Source organism: Homo sapiens, chromosome 1 (assembly GCF_000001405.40).
Source record: "Homo sapiens chromosome 1, GRCh38.p14 Primary Assembly".
In the NCBI taxonomy this organism is placed as follows: domain Eukaryota; kingdom Metazoa; phylum Chordata; class Mammalia; order Primates; family Hominidae; genus Homo; species Homo sapiens.
The window spans coordinates 146,062,205-146,082,485 of record NC_000001.11 but is presented as its reverse complement, the minus strand read 5'-3'; the positions used below and the strand labels follow the sequence as shown (position 1 = coordinate 146,082,485).

General features: G+C 43.4%; 1 protein-coding gene across 2 annotated transcripts in view; it reads left to right on the top strand.

Annotated features, from left to right (window-relative positions):
• NBPF10 (NBPF member 10) overlaps positions 1 to 17,787 on the top strand; it is an 80,106-nt gene extending 62,319 nt beyond the window's left edge. Inside the window, exons 70-90 of one of the 2 annotated variants that reach the window (NM_001302371.3) lie at positions 117 to 289; positions 999 to 1,050; positions 1,709 to 1,881; positions 2,596 to 2,704; positions 3,307 to 3,479; positions 4,199 to 4,250; positions 4,847 to 5,019; positions 5,729 to 5,780; positions 6,445 to 6,617; positions 7,332 to 7,440; positions 8,043 to 8,215; positions 8,935 to 8,986; positions 9,585 to 9,757; positions 10,467 to 10,518; positions 11,167 to 11,339; positions 12,054 to 12,162; positions 12,771 to 12,943; positions 13,663 to 13,714; positions 14,311 to 14,483; positions 15,198 to 15,306; positions 15,925 to 17,775. In NM_001302371.3, the coding sequence (NP_001289300.1) occupies positions 117 to 289; positions 999 to 1,050; positions 1,709 to 1,881; positions 2,596 to 2,704; positions 3,307 to 3,479; positions 4,199 to 4,250; positions 4,847 to 5,019; positions 5,729 to 5,780; positions 6,445 to 6,617; positions 7,332 to 7,440; positions 8,043 to 8,215; positions 8,935 to 8,986; positions 9,585 to 9,757; positions 10,467 to 10,518; positions 11,167 to 11,339; positions 12,054 to 12,162; positions 12,771 to 12,943; positions 13,663 to 13,714; positions 14,311 to 14,483; positions 15,198 to 15,306; positions 15,925 to 16,168 (2,722 nt within the window). In that variant the 3' untranslated portion in view covers positions 16,169 to 17,775. Of the gene's footprint in view, positions 1 to 116; positions 290 to 998; positions 1,051 to 1,708; positions 1,882 to 2,595; positions 2,705 to 3,306; positions 3,480 to 4,198; positions 4,251 to 4,846; positions 5,020 to 5,728; positions 5,781 to 6,444; positions 6,618 to 7,331; positions 7,441 to 8,042; positions 8,216 to 8,934; positions 8,987 to 9,584; positions 9,758 to 10,466; positions 10,519 to 11,166; positions 11,340 to 12,053; positions 12,163 to 12,770; positions 12,944 to 13,662; positions 13,715 to 14,310; positions 14,484 to 15,197; positions 15,307 to 15,924 lie in introns of both variants that reach the window. The other variant, NM_001039703.6, reaches the window with a different exon arrangement.
• The last annotated feature ends 2,494 nt before the right edge of the window (positions 17,788 to 20,281 follow it).

Here is a 20,281-nt window from a genome sequence, read left to right as displayed (position 1 = left end):
ATGGATCTGTCCTTTTTCTTTTTAAACAGTTCCTTATGTTAGCCATGAAATCTAGCTGGGGCTGTGTGGTTTCTGATTCCCCCTGACTTATTCTTTACTTTTTCCTACTTTTCCAGGCTCAGCAGGGAGCTGCTGGATGAGAAAGAGCCTGAAGTCTTGCAGGACTCACTGGATAGATGTTATTCGACTCCTTCAGGTTATCTTGAACTGCCTGACTTAGGCCAGCCCTACAGCAGTGCTGTTTACTCATTGGAGGAACAGTACCTTGGCTTGGCTCTTGACGTGGACAGTGAGTACCTTACTGTGAAGGTGATAAGCCTCCACCTGGTCTTCCAGATAGGGGTGATATTCCTGTTCCAAGTGCCCCTTACTGACCCGAGAGACGTCATTGCCGCAGGCAGGACCTATGGGCGCATATAGGTTGTAATGAAACTGTAGTCTCAGTTGGAAGCCTAGACATGAAATGGGTCAGTGAGCAAGGCTCTATTCCTAGTCTCCAGCCATGCCTGTGGCAACCTGAGCCCGCTCTCAGCACATTGGACCCAGGCAGATGTAAAAAATTCACAGAAGTATGATTTGGACTCAAGGGTTTGTAGATTTCCTCCTTCATTCTAATTTCAGTGTCTAAAATTCTTGCATCCATGAACGAGCTGGGCATTTGATGAGACAGGGCTGAATACTTTAGTTTTCCTCCTGGAAATCATCTGGGGCATTTTCTTTGAACTGATGGGAACAATAAAGCATAACTGTTTGCACAAACTTGGGATAAATGATTTTGGGATAACGATGTACCAGAATGGGGATATTTCACCCTTGGTTCTGAGATGTAAACCAAAGAATATCATGACCAGCTTTCAGGCCTCCTGAAGTATATCTCTCACATTGTCCTGTTCTCATGCTGAGGAGCCTGAGATCCCTGTGTGGGGATTAGACAGTGGACTGTTATGGGTGTAGGTGAATTGGCTTATTTTGTCTGTCCCTGTCTGAATGTATTGCAGGAATTAAAAAGGACCAAGAAGAGGAAGAAGACCAAGGCCCACCATGCCCCAGGTAACTGAGCAATTGTGAACAGCTACTTCTGTGTTGACATCTGGAGACTCCTGGTTCAGGGAAAACAGTGCGGGCTGACATTATCGATTACATCTTTTCAACCAAGCCTGAATTATTCCTACTAACATTGCTGTTGGTTTTCATTGCAGTAGATATTTAGGTTTCCATTTCTTCCTCCCCTTATCATTTACTAACCTACTGTAGGTGGACCAGACTTCAAAAACTGTATTCTCATGGCGACTGCATGGAAACTTGAGCACATTTTATGGAAAATTATTGAGCACAGTCTTTTCATGATCCCTGTATGCTGTGTGTCCTGAGGGCACTAACTCAGAGTGTCCTGTTACTCCCTCATCAGTGTGTCACCTGGACAATTCACTGAGCTCGTTCTCTCTCTCTCTCTCTGTGTGTGTGTGTGTGTGTGTGTGTGTGTGTGTGTGTGTGTGTGTGTGTGTGTGTGTCTATCTGTCTTTCTCTTTCATTCTTTTCCATTTGGCCCTGTTCTGTCCCAACATGAAGGCAATAATTTGTTACCTCATTAATGGATCTATCCTTTTAGTTTTTTAACCACTTCCCTATGCTACCCATGAAACCTAGTTGGGGCTCTGTTGTGTCTGATTTCCCCTGGCTTATTCTTTACTTTTTCCTCCTTTTCCAGGCTCAGCAGGGAGCTGCTGGAGGTAGTAGAGCCTGAAGTCTTGCAGGACTCACTGGATAGATGTTATTCAACTCCTTCCAGTTGTCTTGAACAGCCTGACTCCTGCCAGCCCTATGGAAGTTCCTTTTATGCATTGGAGGAAAAACATGTTGGCTTTTCTCTTGACGTGGGAGGTGAGTACCTTTCTATGAAGGTGATAAGGATCCACTGAGTCTTCCATATAAAGATCATATTCCTGCTCCAAGTGGCCATTACTGAGCTGAGAGATGTCATTGCCACAGGGAGGACCTATAGGCACATGTAGGTTGAATGAAACTCTAGTTCTACCTGGAAGCCCAGACAAGGGATGGGTCAGTGAGCAAGACTCTCTTCCTAGTCTCAGGCCATACCTGTGGCGCCCTGATCCTATTCTCATGACATTGGACCTGGGCAGATGTGACAAATTCAGAGAACTATGATTTTGACTCAAGGGTTTGTAGATTTCCTTTTTCACTCTAATTTCAGTGTCTAAAGTCCTCACAACCATGAACAATCTGAGTATTTGATGAGACAGGGCTAAATATTGCAGTTTTTCTCCTAGAAATCATTTGAGGGTATTTGCTTTAAGTTGATTGGAAAAATATGGCGTAACTGTTTGCACAAACTTGGGACAAATGATATTGGGATAACGATCTACTAGAATAGGGACATTTTACCCACAGTTTCTGGGAGAAAAACCGAGGAATTTCTATCATGACCAGCCTTCAGGCCTCCTGAAATATATCTCTCACAGTGTCCTATTCTTATGCTGAGGAGCCTGAGGTCCCTGTGTGAGGATTAGACAGTGGATTGTTATGTGTGTAGGGGAATCAGCTTAATGTGTCTGTCCATGTCTGAATTTATTGCAGAAATTGAAAAGAAGGGGAAGGGGAAGAAAAGAAGGGGAAGAAGATCAAAGAAGGAAAGAAGAAGGGGAAGAAAAGAAGGGGAAGAAGATCAAAACCCACCATGCCCCAGGTGACTTTCAGCAATTGTGGATGCTTAATTCTGTGTTAACACCTGGAGGCAACAGATTCAGGGAAACCAGAGTGTGTTTGATGACATGTTTTCAGCGAAGGCTGAATTACTCCTACTGTCATTGCTGTTGGTTTTCATTGCAGTAGATGTTTAGGTTTCCATTTCTTCCTCCCCTTATCATTTCCTAACGTACCATAGGTTGACCATACTTCAAAAGCTGTACTCTCATGGCCACTGCATCGAATTTTGAGCATATTTTATGTAAAACTATTGAGCTCACTCTTTTCATGATCACAGTTTGCTGTGTGTCATGAGGGCACTAACTCAGAGTGTCCTTTGACTCCCTTACCAGTATGTCACCTGGCCAATTCACTAGGTCACTTTCTCTCTGTCTCTGTCTCTGTCTCTGTCTGTCTTTCTCTTTCATTGTTTTCTACCTGGCCCTGTTCTGTCCCAACATAAAGGCAATAATTTGTTACCTCATTAATGGATCTGTCCTTTTTCTTTTCAAACTCTTCCTTACGTTAGCCATGAAATCTAGCTGGGGCTGTGTGGTTTCTGATTCCCCCTGGCTTATTCTTTACTTTTTCCCACTTTTCCAGGCTCAGCAGGGAGCTGCTGGATGAGAAAGGGCCTGAAGTCTTGCAGGACTCACTGGATAGATGTTATTCAACTCCTTCAGGTTGTCTTGAACTGACTGACTCATGCCAGCCCTACAGAAGTGCCTTTTATGTATTGGAGCAACAGCATGTTGGCTTGGCTGTTGACATGGATGGTGAGTACCTTTCTATGAAGGTGATAAGGATCCACTGAGTCTTCTGGTTAGGGTCATATTCCTACTGCAAGTGGCCCTTACTGAGCTGAGAGATGTCATTGCCACAGGGAGGAACTATAGGCACATGTAGGTTGAGTGAAACTCTAGTTCCACTTGGAAGCCCAGACAAGGGATGGGTCAGTGAGCAAGGCTCTCTTCCTAGTCTCAGGCCATGCCCGTGGCGCCCTAATCCTACTCTCAAGATGTTGGATCTGGGCAGATGTGACAAATTCACACAACTCTGATTTTGTCTCAATTTTGTAGATCTTGTCGATTTCATCCTTCACTCTAATTTCAGCGTCTCAAATCCTCACTACCATGAACAATCTGAGTATTTGATGAGACAGGGCTGAATAGTGCAGTTTTTCTCCTAGCAGCCATTTGGGGGCATTTGCTTTAAATCGATTGGAAAAATATGGCATAACCATTTGCACAAACTTGGGACAAATGATATTGGGATAACGATCTACCAGAATAGGGAATTTTACCCACAGTTTCTGGGACAAAAACCAAGGAATCTCTATGGTGATCAGCCTTCAGGCCTCCTGAAGACTATCTCTCACAGTGTCCTATTCTCATGCTGAGGAGCCTGAAGTCCCTGTGTGAGGATTAGACAGTGGATTGTTATGTGTGTAGGAGAACCAGCTTAATATGTCTGTCCATGTCTGAACTTATTGCAGAAATTGAAAAGTACCAAGAAGTGGAAGAAGACCAAGACCCATCATGCCCCAGGTAACTTTGAGCAATTATGGATGCTTAATTCTGTGTTGACACCTGGAGATGCCAGGTCCAGGGAAAACAAGAGTGTGTTCAATTTCATGTTTTCAACGAAGGTTGAATTACTCCTACTGACATTGCTGTTGGTTTTCATTGCAGTAGATGTTTAGGTTTCCATTTCTTCCTCCCCTTATCATTTACTCACTTACTATAGGTTGACCATACCTCAAAGGCTGTATGGCAACTGCATGGAATCTTGAGCAAGGTTATGGAAAATTATTGAGCCCACTCTTTTCATGATCACTGTTCGCTGTGTGTCCCGAGGGCACTAACTCAGAGTGTCCTTTGACCCCTTCATCAGTGTGTCACCCGGCCAATTCGCTGAGCTCACTTTCTCCTCTCTCTCTCTCTCCCTCTCCCTGTCTTTCTCTTTCATTCTTTTCTACCTGGCCCTGGTCTATCCCAACATAAAGGCAATAATTCATTACCTCATTAATGGATCTGTCCTTTTTCTTTTTAAACAGTTCCTTATGTTAGCCATGAAATCTAGCTGGGGCTGTGTGGTTTCTGATTCCCCCTGACTTATTCTTTACTTTTTCCTACTTTTCCAGGCTCAGCAGGGAGCTGCTGGATGAGAAAGAGCCTGAAGTCTTGCAGGACTCACTGGATAGATGTTATTCGACTCCTTCAGGTTATCTTGAACTGCCTGACTTAGGCCAGCCCTACAGCAGTGCTGTTTACTCATTGGAGGAACAGTACCTTGGCTTGGCTCTTGACGTGGACAGTGAGTACCTTACTGTGAAGGTGATAAGCCTCCACCTGGTCTTCCAGATAGGGGTGATATTCCTGTTCCAAGTGCCCCTTACTGACCCGAGAGACGTCATTGCCGCAGGCAGGACCTATGGGCGCATATAGGTTGTAATGAAACTGTAGTCTCAGTTGGAAGCCTAGACATGAAATGGGTCAGTGAGCAAGGCTCTATTCCTAGTCTCCAGCCATGCCTGTGGCAACCTGAGCCCGCTCTCAGCACATTGGACCCAGGCAGATGTAAAAAATTCACAGAAGTATGATTTGGACTGAAGGGTTTGTAGATTTCCTCCTTCATTCTAATTTCAGTGTCTAAAATTCTTGCATCCATGAACGAGCTGGGCATTTGATGAGACAGGGCTGAATACTTTAGTTTTCCTCCTGGAAATCATCTGGGGCATTTTCTTTGAACTGATGGGAACAATAAAGCATAACTGTTTGCACAAACTTGGGATAAATGATTTTGGGATAACGATCTACCAGAATGGGGATATTTCACCCTTGGTTCTGAGATGCAAACCAAAGAATATCATGACCAGCTTTCAGGCCTCCTGAAGTATATCTCTCACATTGTCCTGTTCTCATGCTGAGGAGCCTGAGATCCCTGTGTGGGGATTAGACAGTGGACTGTTATGGGTGTAGGTGAATTGGCTTATTTTGTCTGTCCCTGTCTGAATGTATTGCAGGAATTAAAAAGGACGAAGAAGAGGAAGAAGACCAAGACCCACCATGCCCCAGGTAACTGAGCAATTGTGAACAGCTACTTCTGTGTTGACATCTGGAGACTCCTGGTTCAGGGAAAACAGTGCGGGCTGACATTATCGATTACATCTTTTCAACCAAGCCTGAATTATTCCTACTAACATTGCTGTTGGTTTTCATTGCAGTAGATATTTAGGTTTCCATTTCTTCCTCCCCTTATCATTTACTAACCTACTGTAGGTGGACCAGACTTCAAAAACTGTATTCTCATGGCGACTGCATGGAAACTTGAGCACATTTTATGGAAAATTATTGAGCACAGTCTTTTCATGATCCCTGTATGCTGTGTGTCCTGAGGGCACTAACTCAGAGTGTCCTGTTACTCCCTCATCAGTGTGTCACCTGGACAATTCACTGAGCTCGTTCTCTCTCTCTCTCTGTGTGTGTGTGTGTGTGTGTGTGTGTGTGTGTGTGTGTGTGTGTGTGTGTGTGTGTGTGTGTGTCTATCTGTCTTTCTCTTTCATTCTTTTCCATTTGGCCCTGTTCTGTCCCAACATGAAGGCAATAATTTGTTACCTCATTAATGGATCTATCCTTTTAGTTTTTTAACCACTTCCCTATGCTACCCATGAAACCTAGTTGGGGCTCTGTTGTGTCTGATTTCCCCTGGCTTATTCTTTACTTTTTCCTCCTTTTCCAGGCTCAGCAGGGAGCTGCTGGAGGTAGTAGAGCCTGAAGTCTTGCAGGACTCACTGGATAGATGTTATTCAACTCCTTCCAGTTGTCTTGAACAGCCTGACTCCTGCCAGCCCTATGGAAGTTCCTTTTATGCATTGGAGGAAAAACATGTTGGCTTTTCTCTTGACGTGGGAGGTGAGTACCTTTCTATGAAGGTGATAAGGATCCACTGAGTCTTCCATATAAAGATCATATTCCTGCTCCAAGTGGCCATTACTGAGCTGAGAGATGTCATTGCCACAGGGAGGACCTATAGGCACATGTAGGTTGAATGAAACTCTAGTTCTACCTGGAAGCCCAGACAAGGGATGGGTCAGTGAGCAAGACTCTCTTCCTAGTCTCAGGCCATACCTGTGGCGCCCTGATCCTATTCTCATGACATTGGGCCTGGGCAGATGTGACAAATTCAGAGAACTATGATTTTGACTCAAGGGTTTGTAGATTTCCTTTTTCACTCTAATTTCAGTGTCTAAAGTCCTCACAACCATGAACAATCTGAGTATTTGATGAGACAGGGCTAAATATTGCAGTTTTTCTCCTAGAAATCATTTGAGGGTATTTGCTTTAAGTTGATTGGAAAAATATGGCATAACTGTTTGCACAAACTTGGGACAAATGATATTGGGATAACGATCTACTAGAATAGGGACATTTTACCCACAGTTTCTGGGAGAAAAACCGAGGAATTTCTATCATGACCAGCCTTCAGGCCTCCTGAAATATATCTCTCACAGTGTCCTATTCTTATGCTGAGGAGCCTGAGGTCCCTGTGTGAGGATTAGACAGTGGATTGTTATGTGTGTAGGGGAATCAGCTTAATGTGTCTGTCCATGTCTGAATTTATTGCAGAAATTGAAAAGAAGGGGAAGGGGAAGAAAAGAAGGGGAAGAAGATCAAAGAAGGAAAGAAGAAGGGGAAGAAAAGAAGGGGAAGAAGATCAAAACCCACCATGCCCCAGGTGACTTTCAGCAATTGTGGATGCTTAATTCTGTGTTAACACCTGGAGACAACAGATTCAGGGAAACCAGAGTGTGTTTGATGACATGTTTTCAGCGAAGGCTGAATTACTCCTACTGTCATTGCTGTTGGTTTTCATTGCAGTAGATGTTTAGGTTTCCATTTCTTCCTCCCCTTATCATTTCCTAACGTACCATAGGTTGACCATACTTCAAAAGCTGTACTCTCATGGCCACTGCATCGAATTTTGAGCGTATTTTATGGAAAACTATTGAGCTCACTCTTTTCATGATCACAGTTTGCTGTGTGTCATGAGGGCACTAACTCAGAGTGTCCTTTGACTCCCTTACCAGTATGTCACCTGGCCAATTCACTAGGTCACTTTCTCTCTGTCTCTGTCTCTGTCTCTGTCTGTCTTTCTCTTTCATTGTTTTCTACCTGGCCCTGTTCTGTCCCAACATAAAGGCAATAATTTGTTACCTCATTAATGGATCTGTCCTTTTTCTTTTCAAACTCTTCCTTACGTTAGCCATGAAATCTAGCTGGGGCTGTGTGGTTTCTGATTCCCCCTGGCTTATTCTTTACTTTTTCCCACTTTTCCAGGCTCAGCAGGGAGCTGCTGGATGAGAAAGGGCCTGAAGTCTTGCAGGACTCACTGGATAGATGTTATTCAACTCCTTCAGGTTATCTTGAACTGACTGACTCATGCCAGCCCTACAGAAGTGCCTTTTATGTATTGGAGCAACAGCATGTTGGCTTGGCTGTTGACATGGATGGTGAGTACCTTTCTATGAAGGTGATAAGGATCCACTGAGTCTTCTGGTTAGGGTCATATTCCTACTGCAAGTGGCCCTTACTGAGCTGAGAGATGTCATTGCCACAGGGAGGAACTATAGGCACATGTAGGTTGAGTGAAACTCTAGTTCCACTTGGAAGCCCAGACAAGGGATGGGTCAGTGAGCAAGGCTCTCTTCCTAGTCTCAGGCCATGCCCGTGGCGCCCTAATCCTACTCTCAAGATGTTGGATCTGGGCAGATGTGACAAATTCACACAACTCTGATTTTGTCTCAATTTTGTAGATCTTGGAGATTTCATCCTTCACTCTAATTTCAGCGTCTCAAATCCTCACTACCATGAACAATCTGAGTATTTGATGAGACAGGGCTGAATAGTGCAGTTTTTCTCCTAGCAACCATTTGGGGGCATTTGCTTTAAATCGATTGGAAAAATATGGCATAACCATTTGCACAAACTTGGGACAAATGATATTGGGATAACGATCTACCAGAATAGGGAATTTTACCCACAGTTTCTGGGACAAAAACCAAGGAATCTCTATGGTGATCAGCCTTCAGGCCTCCTGAAGACTATCTCTCACAGTGTCCTATTCTCATGCTGAGGAGCCTGAAGTCCCTGTGTGAGGATTAGACAGTGGATTGTTATGTGTGTAGGAGAACCAGCTTAATATGTCTGTCCATGTCTGAACTTATTGCAGAAATTGAAAAGTACCAAGAAGTGGAAGAAGACCAAGACCCATCATGCCCCAGGTAACTTTGAGCAATTATGGATGCTTAATTCTGTGTTGACACCTGGAGATGCCAGGTCCAGGGAAAACAAGAGTGTGTTCAATTTCATGTTTTCAACGAAGGTTGAATTACTCCTACTGACATTGCTGTTGGTTTTCATTGCAGTAGATGTTTAGGTTTCCATTTCTTCCTCCCCTTATCATTTACTCACTTACTATAGGTTGACCATACCTCAAAGGCTGTATGGCAACTGCATGGAATCTTGAGCAAGTTTATGGAAAATTATTGAGCCCACTCTTTTCATGATCACTGTTCGCTGTGTGTCCCGAGGGCACTAACTCAGAGTGTCCTTTGACCCCTTCATCAGTGTGTCACCCGGCCAATTCGCTGAGCTCACTTTCTCCTCCCTCTCTCTCTCTCCCTCTCCCTGTCTTTCTCTTTCATTCTTTTCTACCTGGCCCTGGTCTATCCCAACATAAAGGCAATAATTCATTACCTCATTAATGGATCTGTCCTTTTTCTTTTTAAACAGTTCCTTATGTTAGCCATGAAATCTAGCTGGGGCTGTGTGGTTTCTGATTCCCCCTGACTTATTCTTTACTTTTTCCTACTTTTCCAGGCTCAGCAGGGAGCTGCTGGATGAGAAAGAGCCTGAAGTCTTGCAGGACTCACTGGATAGATGTTATTCGACTCCTTCAGGTTATCTTGAACTGCCTGACTTAGGCCAGCCCTACAGCAGTGCTGTTTACTCATTGGAGGAACAGTACCTTGGCTTGGCTCTTGACGTGGACAGTGAGTACCTTACTGTGAAGGTGATAAGCCTCCACCTGGTCTTCCAGATAGGGGTGATATTCCTGTTCCAAGTGCCCCTTACTGACCCGAGAGACGTCATTGCCGCAGGCAGGACCTATGGGCGCATATAGGTTGTAATGAAACTGTAGTCTCAGTTGGAAGCCTAGACATGAAATGGGTCAGTGAGCAAGGCTCTATTCCTAGTCTCCAGCCATGCCTGTGGCAACCTGAGCCCGCTCTCAGCACATTGGACCCAGGCAGATGTAAAAAATTCACAGAAGTATGATTTGGACTCAAGGGTTTGTAGATTTCCTCCTTCATTCTAATTTCAGTGTCTAAAATTCTTGCATCCATGAACGAGCTGGGCATTTGATGAGACAGGGCTGAATACTTTAGTTTTCCTCCTGGAAATCATCTGGGGCATTTTCTTTGAACTGATGGGAACAATAAAGCATAACTGTTTGCACAAACTTGGGATAAATGATTTTGGGATAACGATCTACCAGAATGGGGATATTTCACCCTTGGTTCTGAGATGTAAACCAAAGAATATCATGACCAGCTTTCAGGCCTCCTGAAGTATATCTCTCACATTGTCCTGTTCTCATGCTGAGGAGCCTGAGATCCCTGTGTGGGGATTAGACAGTGGACTGTTATGGGTGTAGGTGAATTGGCTTATTTTGTCTGTCCCTGTCTGAATGTATTGCAGGAATTAAAAAGGACCAAGAAGAGGAAGAAGACCAAGGCCCACCATGCCCCAGGTAACTGAGCAATTGTGAACAGCTACTTCTGTGTTGACATCTGGAGACTCCTGGTTCAGGGAAAACAGAGCGGGCTGACATTATCGATTACATCTTTTCAACCAAGCCTGAATTATTCCTACTAACATTGCTGTTGGTTTTCATTGCAGTAGATATTTAGGTTTCCATTTCTTCCTCCCCTTATCATTTACTAACCTACTGTAGGTGGACCAGACTTCAAAAACTGTATTCTCATGGCGACTGCATGGAAACTTGAGCACATTTTATGGAAAATTATTGAGCACAGTCTTTTCATGATCCCTGTATGCTGTGTGTCCTGAGGGCACTAACTCAGAGTGTCCTGTTACTCCCTCATCAGTGTGTCACCTGGACAATTCACTGAGCTCGTTCTCTCTCTCTCTCTCTGTGTGTGTGTGTGTGTTTGTGTGTGTGTGTGTGTGTGTGTGTGTGTCTATCTGTCTTTCTCTTTCATTCTTTTCCATTTGGCCCTGTTCTGTCCCAACATGAAGGCAATAATTTGTTACCTCATTAATGGATCTATCCTTTTAGTTTTTTAACCACTTCCCTATGCTACCCATGAAACCTAGTTGGGGCTCTGTTGTGTCTGATTTCCCCTGGCTTATTCTTTACTTTTTCCTCCTTTTCCAGGCTCAGCAGGGAGCTGCTGGAGGTAGTAGAGCCTGAAGTCTTGCAGGACTCACTGGATAGATGTTATTCAACTCCTTCCAGTTGTCTTGAACAGCCTGACTCCTGCCAGCCCTATGGAAGTTCCTTTTATGCATTGGAGGAAAAACATGTTGGCTTTTCTCTTGACGTGGGAGGTGAGTACCTTTCTATGAAGGTGATAAGGATCCACTGAGTCTTCCATATAAAGATCATATTCCTGCTCCAAGTGGCCATTACTGAGCTGAGAGATGTCATTGCCACAGGGAGGACCTATAGGCACATGTAGGTTGAATGAAACTCTAGTTCTACCTGGAAGCCCAGACAAGGGATGGGTCAGTGAGCAAGACTCTCTTCCTAGTCTCAGGCCATACCTGTGGCGCCCTGATCCTATTCTCATGACATTGGACCTGGGCAGATGTGACAAATTCAGAGAACTATGATTTTGACTCAAGGGTTTGTAGATTTCCTTTTTCACTCTAATTTCAGTGTCTAAAGTCCTCACAACCATGAACAATCTGAGTATTTGATGAGACAGGGCTAAATATTGCAGTTTTTCTCCTAGAAATCATTTGAGGGTATTTGCTTTAAGTTGATTGGAAAAATATGGCGTAACTGTTTGCACAAACTTGGGACAAATGATATTGGGATAACGATCTACTAGAATAGGGACATTTTACCCACAGTTTCTGGGAGAAAAACCGAGGAATTTCTATCATGACCAGCCTTCAGGCCTCCTGAAATATATCTCTCACAGTGTCCTATTCTTATGCTGAGGAGCCTGAGGTCCCTGTGTGAGGATTAGACAGTGGATTGTTATGTGTGTAGGGGAATCAGCTTAATGTGTCTGTCCATGTCTGAATTTATTGCAGAAATTGAAAAGAAGGGGAAGGGGAAGAAAAGAAGGGGAAGAAGATCAAAGAAGGAAAGAAGAAGGGGAAGAAAAGAAGGGGAAGAAGATCAAAACCCACCATGCCCCAGGTGACTTTCAGCAATTGTGGATGCTTAATTCTGTGTTAACACCTGGAGGCAACAGATTCAGGGAAACCAGAGTGTGTTTGATGACATGTTTTCAACGAAGGCTGAATTACTCCTACTGTCATTGCTGTTGGTTTTCATTGCAGTAGATGTTTAGGTTTCCATTTCTTCCTCCCCTTATCATTTCCTAACGTACCATAGGTTGACCATACTTCAAAAGCTGTACTCTCATGGCCACTGCATCGAATTTTGAGCATATTTTATGTAAAACTATTGAGCTCACTCTTTTCATGATCACAGTTTGCTGTGTGTCATGAGGGCACTAACTCAGAGTGTCCTTTGACTCCCTTACCAGTATGTCACCTGGCCAATTCACTAGGTCACTTTCTCTCTGTCTCTGTCTCTGTCTCTGTCTCTGTCTGTCTTTCTCTTTCATTGTTTTCTACCTGGCCCTGTTCTGTCCCATCATAAAGGCAATAATTTGTTACCTCATTAATGGATCTGTCCTTTTTCTTTTCAAACTCTTCCTTACGTTAGCCATGAAATCTAGCTGGGGCTGTGTGGTTTCTGATTCCCCCTGGCTTATTCTTTACTTTTTCCCACTTTTCCAGGCTCAGCAGGGAGCTGCTGGATGAGAAAGGGCCTGAAGTCTTGCAGGACTCACTGGATAGATGTTATTCAACTCCTTCAGGTTGTCTTGAACTGTGTGACTCATGCCAGCCCTACAGAAGTGCCTTTTATGTATTGGAGCAACAGCGTGTTGGCTTGGCTGTTGACATGGATGGTGAGTACCTTTCTATGAAGGTGATAAGGATCCACTGAGTCTTCTGGTTAGGGTCATATTCCTACTGCAAGTGGCCCTTACTGAGCTGAGAGATGTCATTGCCACAGGGAGGACCTATAGGCATATGTAGGTTGAATGAAACTCTAGTTCCACTTGGAAGCCCAGACAAGGGATGGGTCAGTGAGCAAGGCTCTCTTCCTAGTCTCAGGCCATGCCTGTGGCGCCCTAATCCTACTCTCAAGATGTTGGATCTGGGCAGATGTGACAAATTCACACAACTCTGATTTTGTCTCAATTTTGTAGATCTTGTAGATTTCATCCTTCACTCTAATTTCAGCGTCTACAATCCTCGCTACCATGAACAATCTGAGTATTTGATGAGACAGGGCTGAATAGTGCAGTTTTTCTCCTAGCAGCCATTTGGGGGCATTTGCTTTAAATCGATTGGAAAAATATGGCATAACCATTTGCACAAACTTGGGACAAATGATATTGGGATAACGATCTACCAGAATAGGGAATTTTACCCACAGTTTCTGGGACAAAAACCAAGGAATCTCTATGGTGATCAGCCTTCAGGCCTCCTGAAGACTATCTCTCACAGTGTCCTATTCTCATGCTGAGGAGCCTGAAGTCCCTGTGTGAGGATTAGACAGTGGATTGTTATGTGTGTAGGAGAACCAGCTTAATATGTCTGTCCATGTCTGAACTTATTGCAGAAATTGAAAAGTACCAAGAAGTGGAAGAAGACCAAGACCCATCATGCCCCAGGTAACTTTGAGCAATTATGGATGCTTAATTCTGTGTTGACACCTGGAGATGCCAGGTCCAGGGAAAACAAGAGTGTGTTCAATTTCATGTTTTCAGCGAAGGTTGAATTACTCCTACTGACATTGCTGTTGGTTTTCATTGCAGTAGATGTTTAGGTTTCCATTTCTTCCTCCCCTTATCATTTACTCACTTACTATAGGTTGACCATACGTCAAAGGCTGTATGGCAACTGCATGGAATCTTGAGCAAGTTTATGGAAAATTATTGAGCCCACTCTTTTCATGATCACTGTTCGCTGTGTGTCCCGAGGGCACTAACTCAGAGTGTCCTTTGACCCCTTCATCAGTGTGTCACCCGGCCAATTCGCTGATCTCACTTTCTCCTCTCTCTCTCTCTCCCTCTCCCTGTCTTTCTCTTTCATTCTTTTCTACCTGGCCCTGGTCTATCCCAACATAAAGGCAATAATTCATTACCTCATTAACGGATCTGTCCTTTTTCTTTTTAAACAGTTCCTTATGTTAGCCATGAAATCTAGCTGGGGCTGTGTGGTTTCTGATTCCCCCTGGCTTATTCTTTACTTTTTCCTACTTTTCCAGGCTCAGCAGGGAGCTGCTGGATGAGAAAGAGCCTGAAGTCTTGCAGGACTCACTGGATAGATGTTATTCGACTCCTTCAGGTTATCTTGAACTGCCTGACTTAGGCCAGCCCTACAGCAGTGCTGTTTACTCATTGGAGGAACAGTACCTTGGCTTGGCTCTTGACGTGGACAGTGAGTACCTTACTGTGAAGGTGATAAGCCTCCACCTGGTCTTCCAGATAGGGGTGATATTCCTATTCCAAGTGGCCCTTGCTGACCCGAGAGACGTCATTGCCGCAGGCAGGACCTATGGGCGCATATAGGTTGTAATGAAACTGTAGTCTCAGCTGGAAGCCTAGACATGAAATGGTTCAGTGAGCAAGACTCTCTTCCTAGTCTCAGGCCATACCTGTGGCGCCCTGATCCTATTCTCATGACATTGGACCTGGGCAGATGTGACAAATTCAGAGAACTGTGATTTTGACTCAAGGGTTTGTAGATTTCCTTTTTCACTCTAATTTCAGTGTCTGGAGTCCTCACTACCATGAACAATCTGAGTATTTGATGAGACAGGGCTAAATATTGCAGTTTTTCTCCTAGAAATCATTGAGGGTATTTGCTTTACGTTGATTGGAAAAATATGGCGTAACTGTTTGCACAAACTTGGGACAAATGATATTGGGATAACGATCTACTAGAATAGGGACATTTTACCCACAGTTTCTGGGAGAAAAACCGAGGAATTTCTATCATGACCAGCCTTCAGGCCTCCTGAAATATATCTCTCACAGTGTCCTATTCTTATGCTGAGGAGCCTGAGGTCCCTGTGTGAGGATTAGACAGTGGATTTTTATGTGTGTAGGGGAATCAGCTTAATGTGTCTGTCCATGTCTGAATTTATTGCAGAAATTGAAAAGAAGGGGAAGGGGAAAAAAAGAAGGGGAAGAAGATCAAAGAAGGAAAGAAGAAGGGGAAGAAAAGAAGGGGAAGAAGATCAAAACCCACCATGCCCCAGGTGACTTTCAGCAATTGTGGATCCTTAGTTCTGTGTTAACACCTGGAGGCAACAGATTCAGGGAAACCAGAGTGTGTTTGATGACATGTTTTCAACGAAGGCTGAATTACTCCTACTGTCATTGCTGTTGGTTTTCATTGCAGTAGATGTTTAGGTTTCCATTTCTTCCTCCCCTTATCATTTCCTAACGTACCATAGGTTGACCATACTTCAAAAGCTGTACTCTCATGGCCACTGCATCGAATTTTGAGCATATTTTATGGAAAACTATTGAGCTCACTCTTTTCATGATCACTGTTTGCTGTGTGTCATGAGGGCACTAAGTCAGAGTGTCCTTTGACTCCCTTACCAGTATGTCACCTGGCCAATTCACTAGGTCACTTTCTCTCTGTCTCTGTCTCTGTCTCTGTCTCTCTCTCTCTGTCTTTCTCTTTCATTGTTTTCTACCTGGCCCTGTTCTATCCCAACATAAAGGCAATAAATTTTTTTTTTACCTCATTAATGGTTCTATCCTTTTTCTTTTCTAACCACTTCCTTATGTTGCTTCTGAAATCTAGCTGGGGCTCTGTGGTGTCTGATTTTCCCTGGCTGCTTCTTTAGTTTTGTCTCCTTTTCCAGGCTCAACGGCGTGCTGATGGAAGTGGAAGAGCGTGAAGTCTTACAGGACTCACTGGATAGATGTTATTCGACTCCGTCAATGTACTTTGAACTACCTGACTCATTCCAGCACTACAGAAGTGTGTTTTACTCATTTGAGGAACAGCACATCAGCTTCGCCCTTTACGTGGACAATAGGTTTTTTACTTTGACGGTGACAAGTCTCCACCTGGTGTTCCAGATGGGAGTCATATTCCCACAATAAGCAGCCCTTAGTAATCCGAGAGATGTCATTCCTGCAGGCAGGACCTATAGGCAAGTGAAGATTTGAATGAAAGTACAGTTCCATTTGGAAGCCCAGACATAGGATGGGTCAGTGGGCATGGCTCTATTCCTATTCTCAAACCATGCCAGTGGCAACCTGTGCGCAGTCTGAAGACAATGGACCCACGTTAGGTGTGACACGTTCACATAACTGTGCAGCACATGCCGGGAGTGATCAGTCAGACATTTTAATTTGAACCACGTATCTCTGGGTAGCTACAAAATTCCTCAGGGATTTCATTTTGCAGGCATGTCTCTGAGCTTCTATACCTGCTCAAGGTCATTGTCATCTTTGTGTTTAGCTCATCCAAAGGTGTTACCCTGGTTTCAATGAACCTAACCTCATTCTTTGTGTCTTCAGTGTTGGCTTGTTTTAGCTGATCCATCTGTAACACAGGAGGGATCCTTGGCTGAGGATTGTATTTCAGAACCACCAACTGCTCTTGACAATTGTTAACCCGCTAGACTCCTTTGGTTAGAGAAGCCACAGTCCTTCAGCCTCCAATTGGTGTCAGTACTTAGGAAGACCACAGCTAGATGGACAAACAGCATTGGGAGGCCTTAGCCCTGCTCCTCTCAATTCCATCCTGTAGAGAACAGGAGTCAGGAGCCGCTGGCAGGAGACAGCATGTCACCCAGGACTCTGCCGGTGCAGAATATGAACAATGCCATGTTCTTGCAGAAAACGCTTAGCCTGAGTTTCATAGGAGGTAATCACCAGACAACTGCAGAATGTAGAACACTGAGCAGGACAACTGACCTGTCTCCTTCACATAGTCCATATCACCACAAATCACACAACAAAAAGGAGAAGAAATATTTTGGGTTCAAAAAAAGTAAAAAGATAATGTAGCTGCATTTCTTTAGTTATTTTGAACCCCAAATATTTCCTCATCTTTTTGTTGTTGTCATGGATGGTGGTGACATGGACTTGTTTATAGAAGACAGGTCAGCTGTCTGGCTCAATGATCTACATTCTGAAGTTGTCTGAAAATGTCTTCATGATTAAATTCAGCCTAAACGTTTTGCCAGGAACACTGCAGAGACAATGCTGTGAGTTTCCAACCTCAGCCCATCTGCGGGCAGAGAAGGTCTAGTTTGTCCATCACCATTATGATATCAGGACTGGTTACTTGGTTAAGGAGGGGTCTAGGAGATCTGTCCCTTTTAGAGACACCTTACTTACAATGAAGTACTTGGGAAAGTGGTTTTCAAGAGTATAAATATCCTGTATTCTAATGATCATCCTCTAAACATTTTATCATTTATTAATCCTCCCTGCCTGTGTCTATTATTATATTCATATCTCTACACTGCAAATTTGGGGTCTCAATTTTTACTGTGCCTTTGTTTTTACTAGTGTCTGCTGTTGCAAAAAGAAGACATTCTCTGCCTGAGTTTTAATTTTTGTCCAAAGTTAATTTTAATCTATACAATTAAAACCTTTTGCCTATCACTCTGGACTTTTGGATTGTTTTTTACATTCAGTGTTATAATATTTGATTATGGTGATTGGTTTTGGTGGGTACTGATGCGAATTAATAAAAACATTTCATTTCCATGTTTATTTTCTAATCTCTTCCACATTGTAGGCTATGTTTACCATATGTAGCAGAATGTATTTACATTTCTTGGTTCTAGTCATTTGTATTCTTCGTGAGTGTGAGTGTGTGTGTGTGTGTGTCTGTGTGTGTGTCTGTGTGTGCCTTTGGCATTTAGGAAGGGTTGTATAGCTCATGTTAAATATTGCACTAAAAATGTTTTTGATGGTTTTCCTCCCTTTGGACTAGACACACTTCTAATATTTGGTTTATAGTTTTAAATTATAACTTTCAGCATCAAATATTTCCATACAACAGTCAATTACATGATGTGTTTTCTTTTTCCTACCTCCTTTACCTGCCACTTCTCATAATAGTATTTGAACCTAAACATATACCGGTGACATTCTGTGATTATCATCTTGCCCCTACCTTGGTTTTTGGTTTAGATCCACATTGAAATATATTAACGCTCATGAGCTATTCAAAAGTGAATGTCACAGTCGTCACTTGCTGAGTGGTACTCATCCTTAACAGAGTCCTCATGAGGGAATCAGGTCTCGCTGAGTTTAGCATGTTTAATAATCTTTTCTCACGGTCTCGATACATGGATCGCATTACTAGATATAAGGTGCTTGCCCAAAATGATTTTTCTGGAGTTTTTAGGAGATATTGTCTTCCTTGGGGGACATACATGGTGTATGTTCTCATTGTGGGATTCTATTTTGTTCTACCAGGACCTCTAATTTCTGCCAGTTACTTCATTCATTTGTTCTCTTCACCATGAGTCTCCAGAGGATACTTCCATGGTCCGTGCCTCCCCATCTCCCAGCAATTCTGCATTTCCAAGATTGGCACCTCTGGTCCTCTGCACGGTGAAGCCCCTTCCTTTCAATTCCCCAGTAGCCAGTGCTCTAATCCACCAGGTCTCAGGCATGATCTATGTTTCTCCACACTCGCTTTCTGAGGAGAGTTTTGCCTGGGTTCTATCATGAACAGGCCCTCCCTGCTGTCCTGGCCTCTATTTGCATAGTGTTTCCTGCTCCCTCTGCCGTCGTGTGGCTCCCAGACCTGGCTAAAGAAAATCACCTGAGGGCCACAGTGTTCCCTAGCCCTGGTGTTTAGGGCAGGATTATGGGTGAGATTTTTGAGTCTCTAAGTTGACCCCTACAGCTCTGAAGTGTATGTTGAGAAATTCAGCTGTTATCATCCTAGGTGGACTTGCTCCCTCCTATCCTCCTACTTCAAATGCAGAACTTCAATCGTTTACAAAAGAAGACTGAATCGTATAATAGAACACACCCTTATTCATTGGCTGGCTTCACCAATCTCATGGCTGAACTTGTAAAAATACAATCTTAGCCACATACCTATGAAATGTATATGTGTGTATATATATATACATGAATTTGCTTCTGAGATTATGGAGGCTGAAATTCCCAAGATGGAAGGAAAGCTGGATACCCAGGAAAGCATTTGTTTCCCATTAGGCCTCTTAATTCTCTCCTGGCCCTTGATTGATTGCATGAGGCCCACCCCTATTAAGGAGGGCAATCTGCTTCACTTAGTCTGCCCATCCCAATGTTAATCGTATCTGAAAGACTCTCTGGAACACAACCAGAATCATGTTTGGCCAAATGTCCTGGCACCCTGGTGCTCGGTCACAGTGACAAGTACAAGTAACTATCACACATGCCCTTTGTCATATTGGTGATTTCCACTGTTTTTCTCCCAAACTGCAGCTTATATTTGTTCTCTTAATACTGTTGAGCAAAAACTTTTAATTTTTATAAAGTCGAATTTATCAATGTTTTCTTTAATGGTTTGTGTTTATTGATAATAAAGAACACTTTGCCTAACTCTGTGTCATGAAGATTTTGTCTTATATTTTCTGCTATACTTTTTCTAGTTTTATAGTTTATATTTAGTTGCATAATCCATTTTGAGTTAGTTTTTGAGTTAGTATTGAGGTTCAGGTGAATTTTTTTCCTTTGGGGATAAAAAAAAACAAATTGTGTAAAAAAAAGTTGTTTCTAAACAATTTGTTGACAAGAGAATGCCTTCTCCACTGAATCATATTTGCACCTTTGTCAATCCATTGGGTGGTTGAGACTGGTGAGAGGACTGTCCTGGTGTTTGGACAGAGAGACAGGGCATGAAGTAGGGTGGTTCTTATGGGAAAAATTAAGGAAGACACATTTTTCCATGAGGAATAGGAAATCCCCAAGCACAATTGGTGGTACCCTCTACCAGCATGTTGTAGCACATTCATCTCTGCTCTACCTGTCCTGCTGCAAAAGCTTGGGTGTGCATAGACACTGAGGTTGAGTGGTGTCTTTGGGCATTTTGAGCATTGACACCAAAGTTCCAGCATCAAATCTTAGAATATCAAGCAGCCAGATGGATCACCTGAGGTCAGGAGTTCACGACCAGCCTGACTAACATGGTGAAACCCCATCTCTACTAAATACAAAAAAATTAGCCAGGCATGATGGTGCATGCCTGTAATCTGA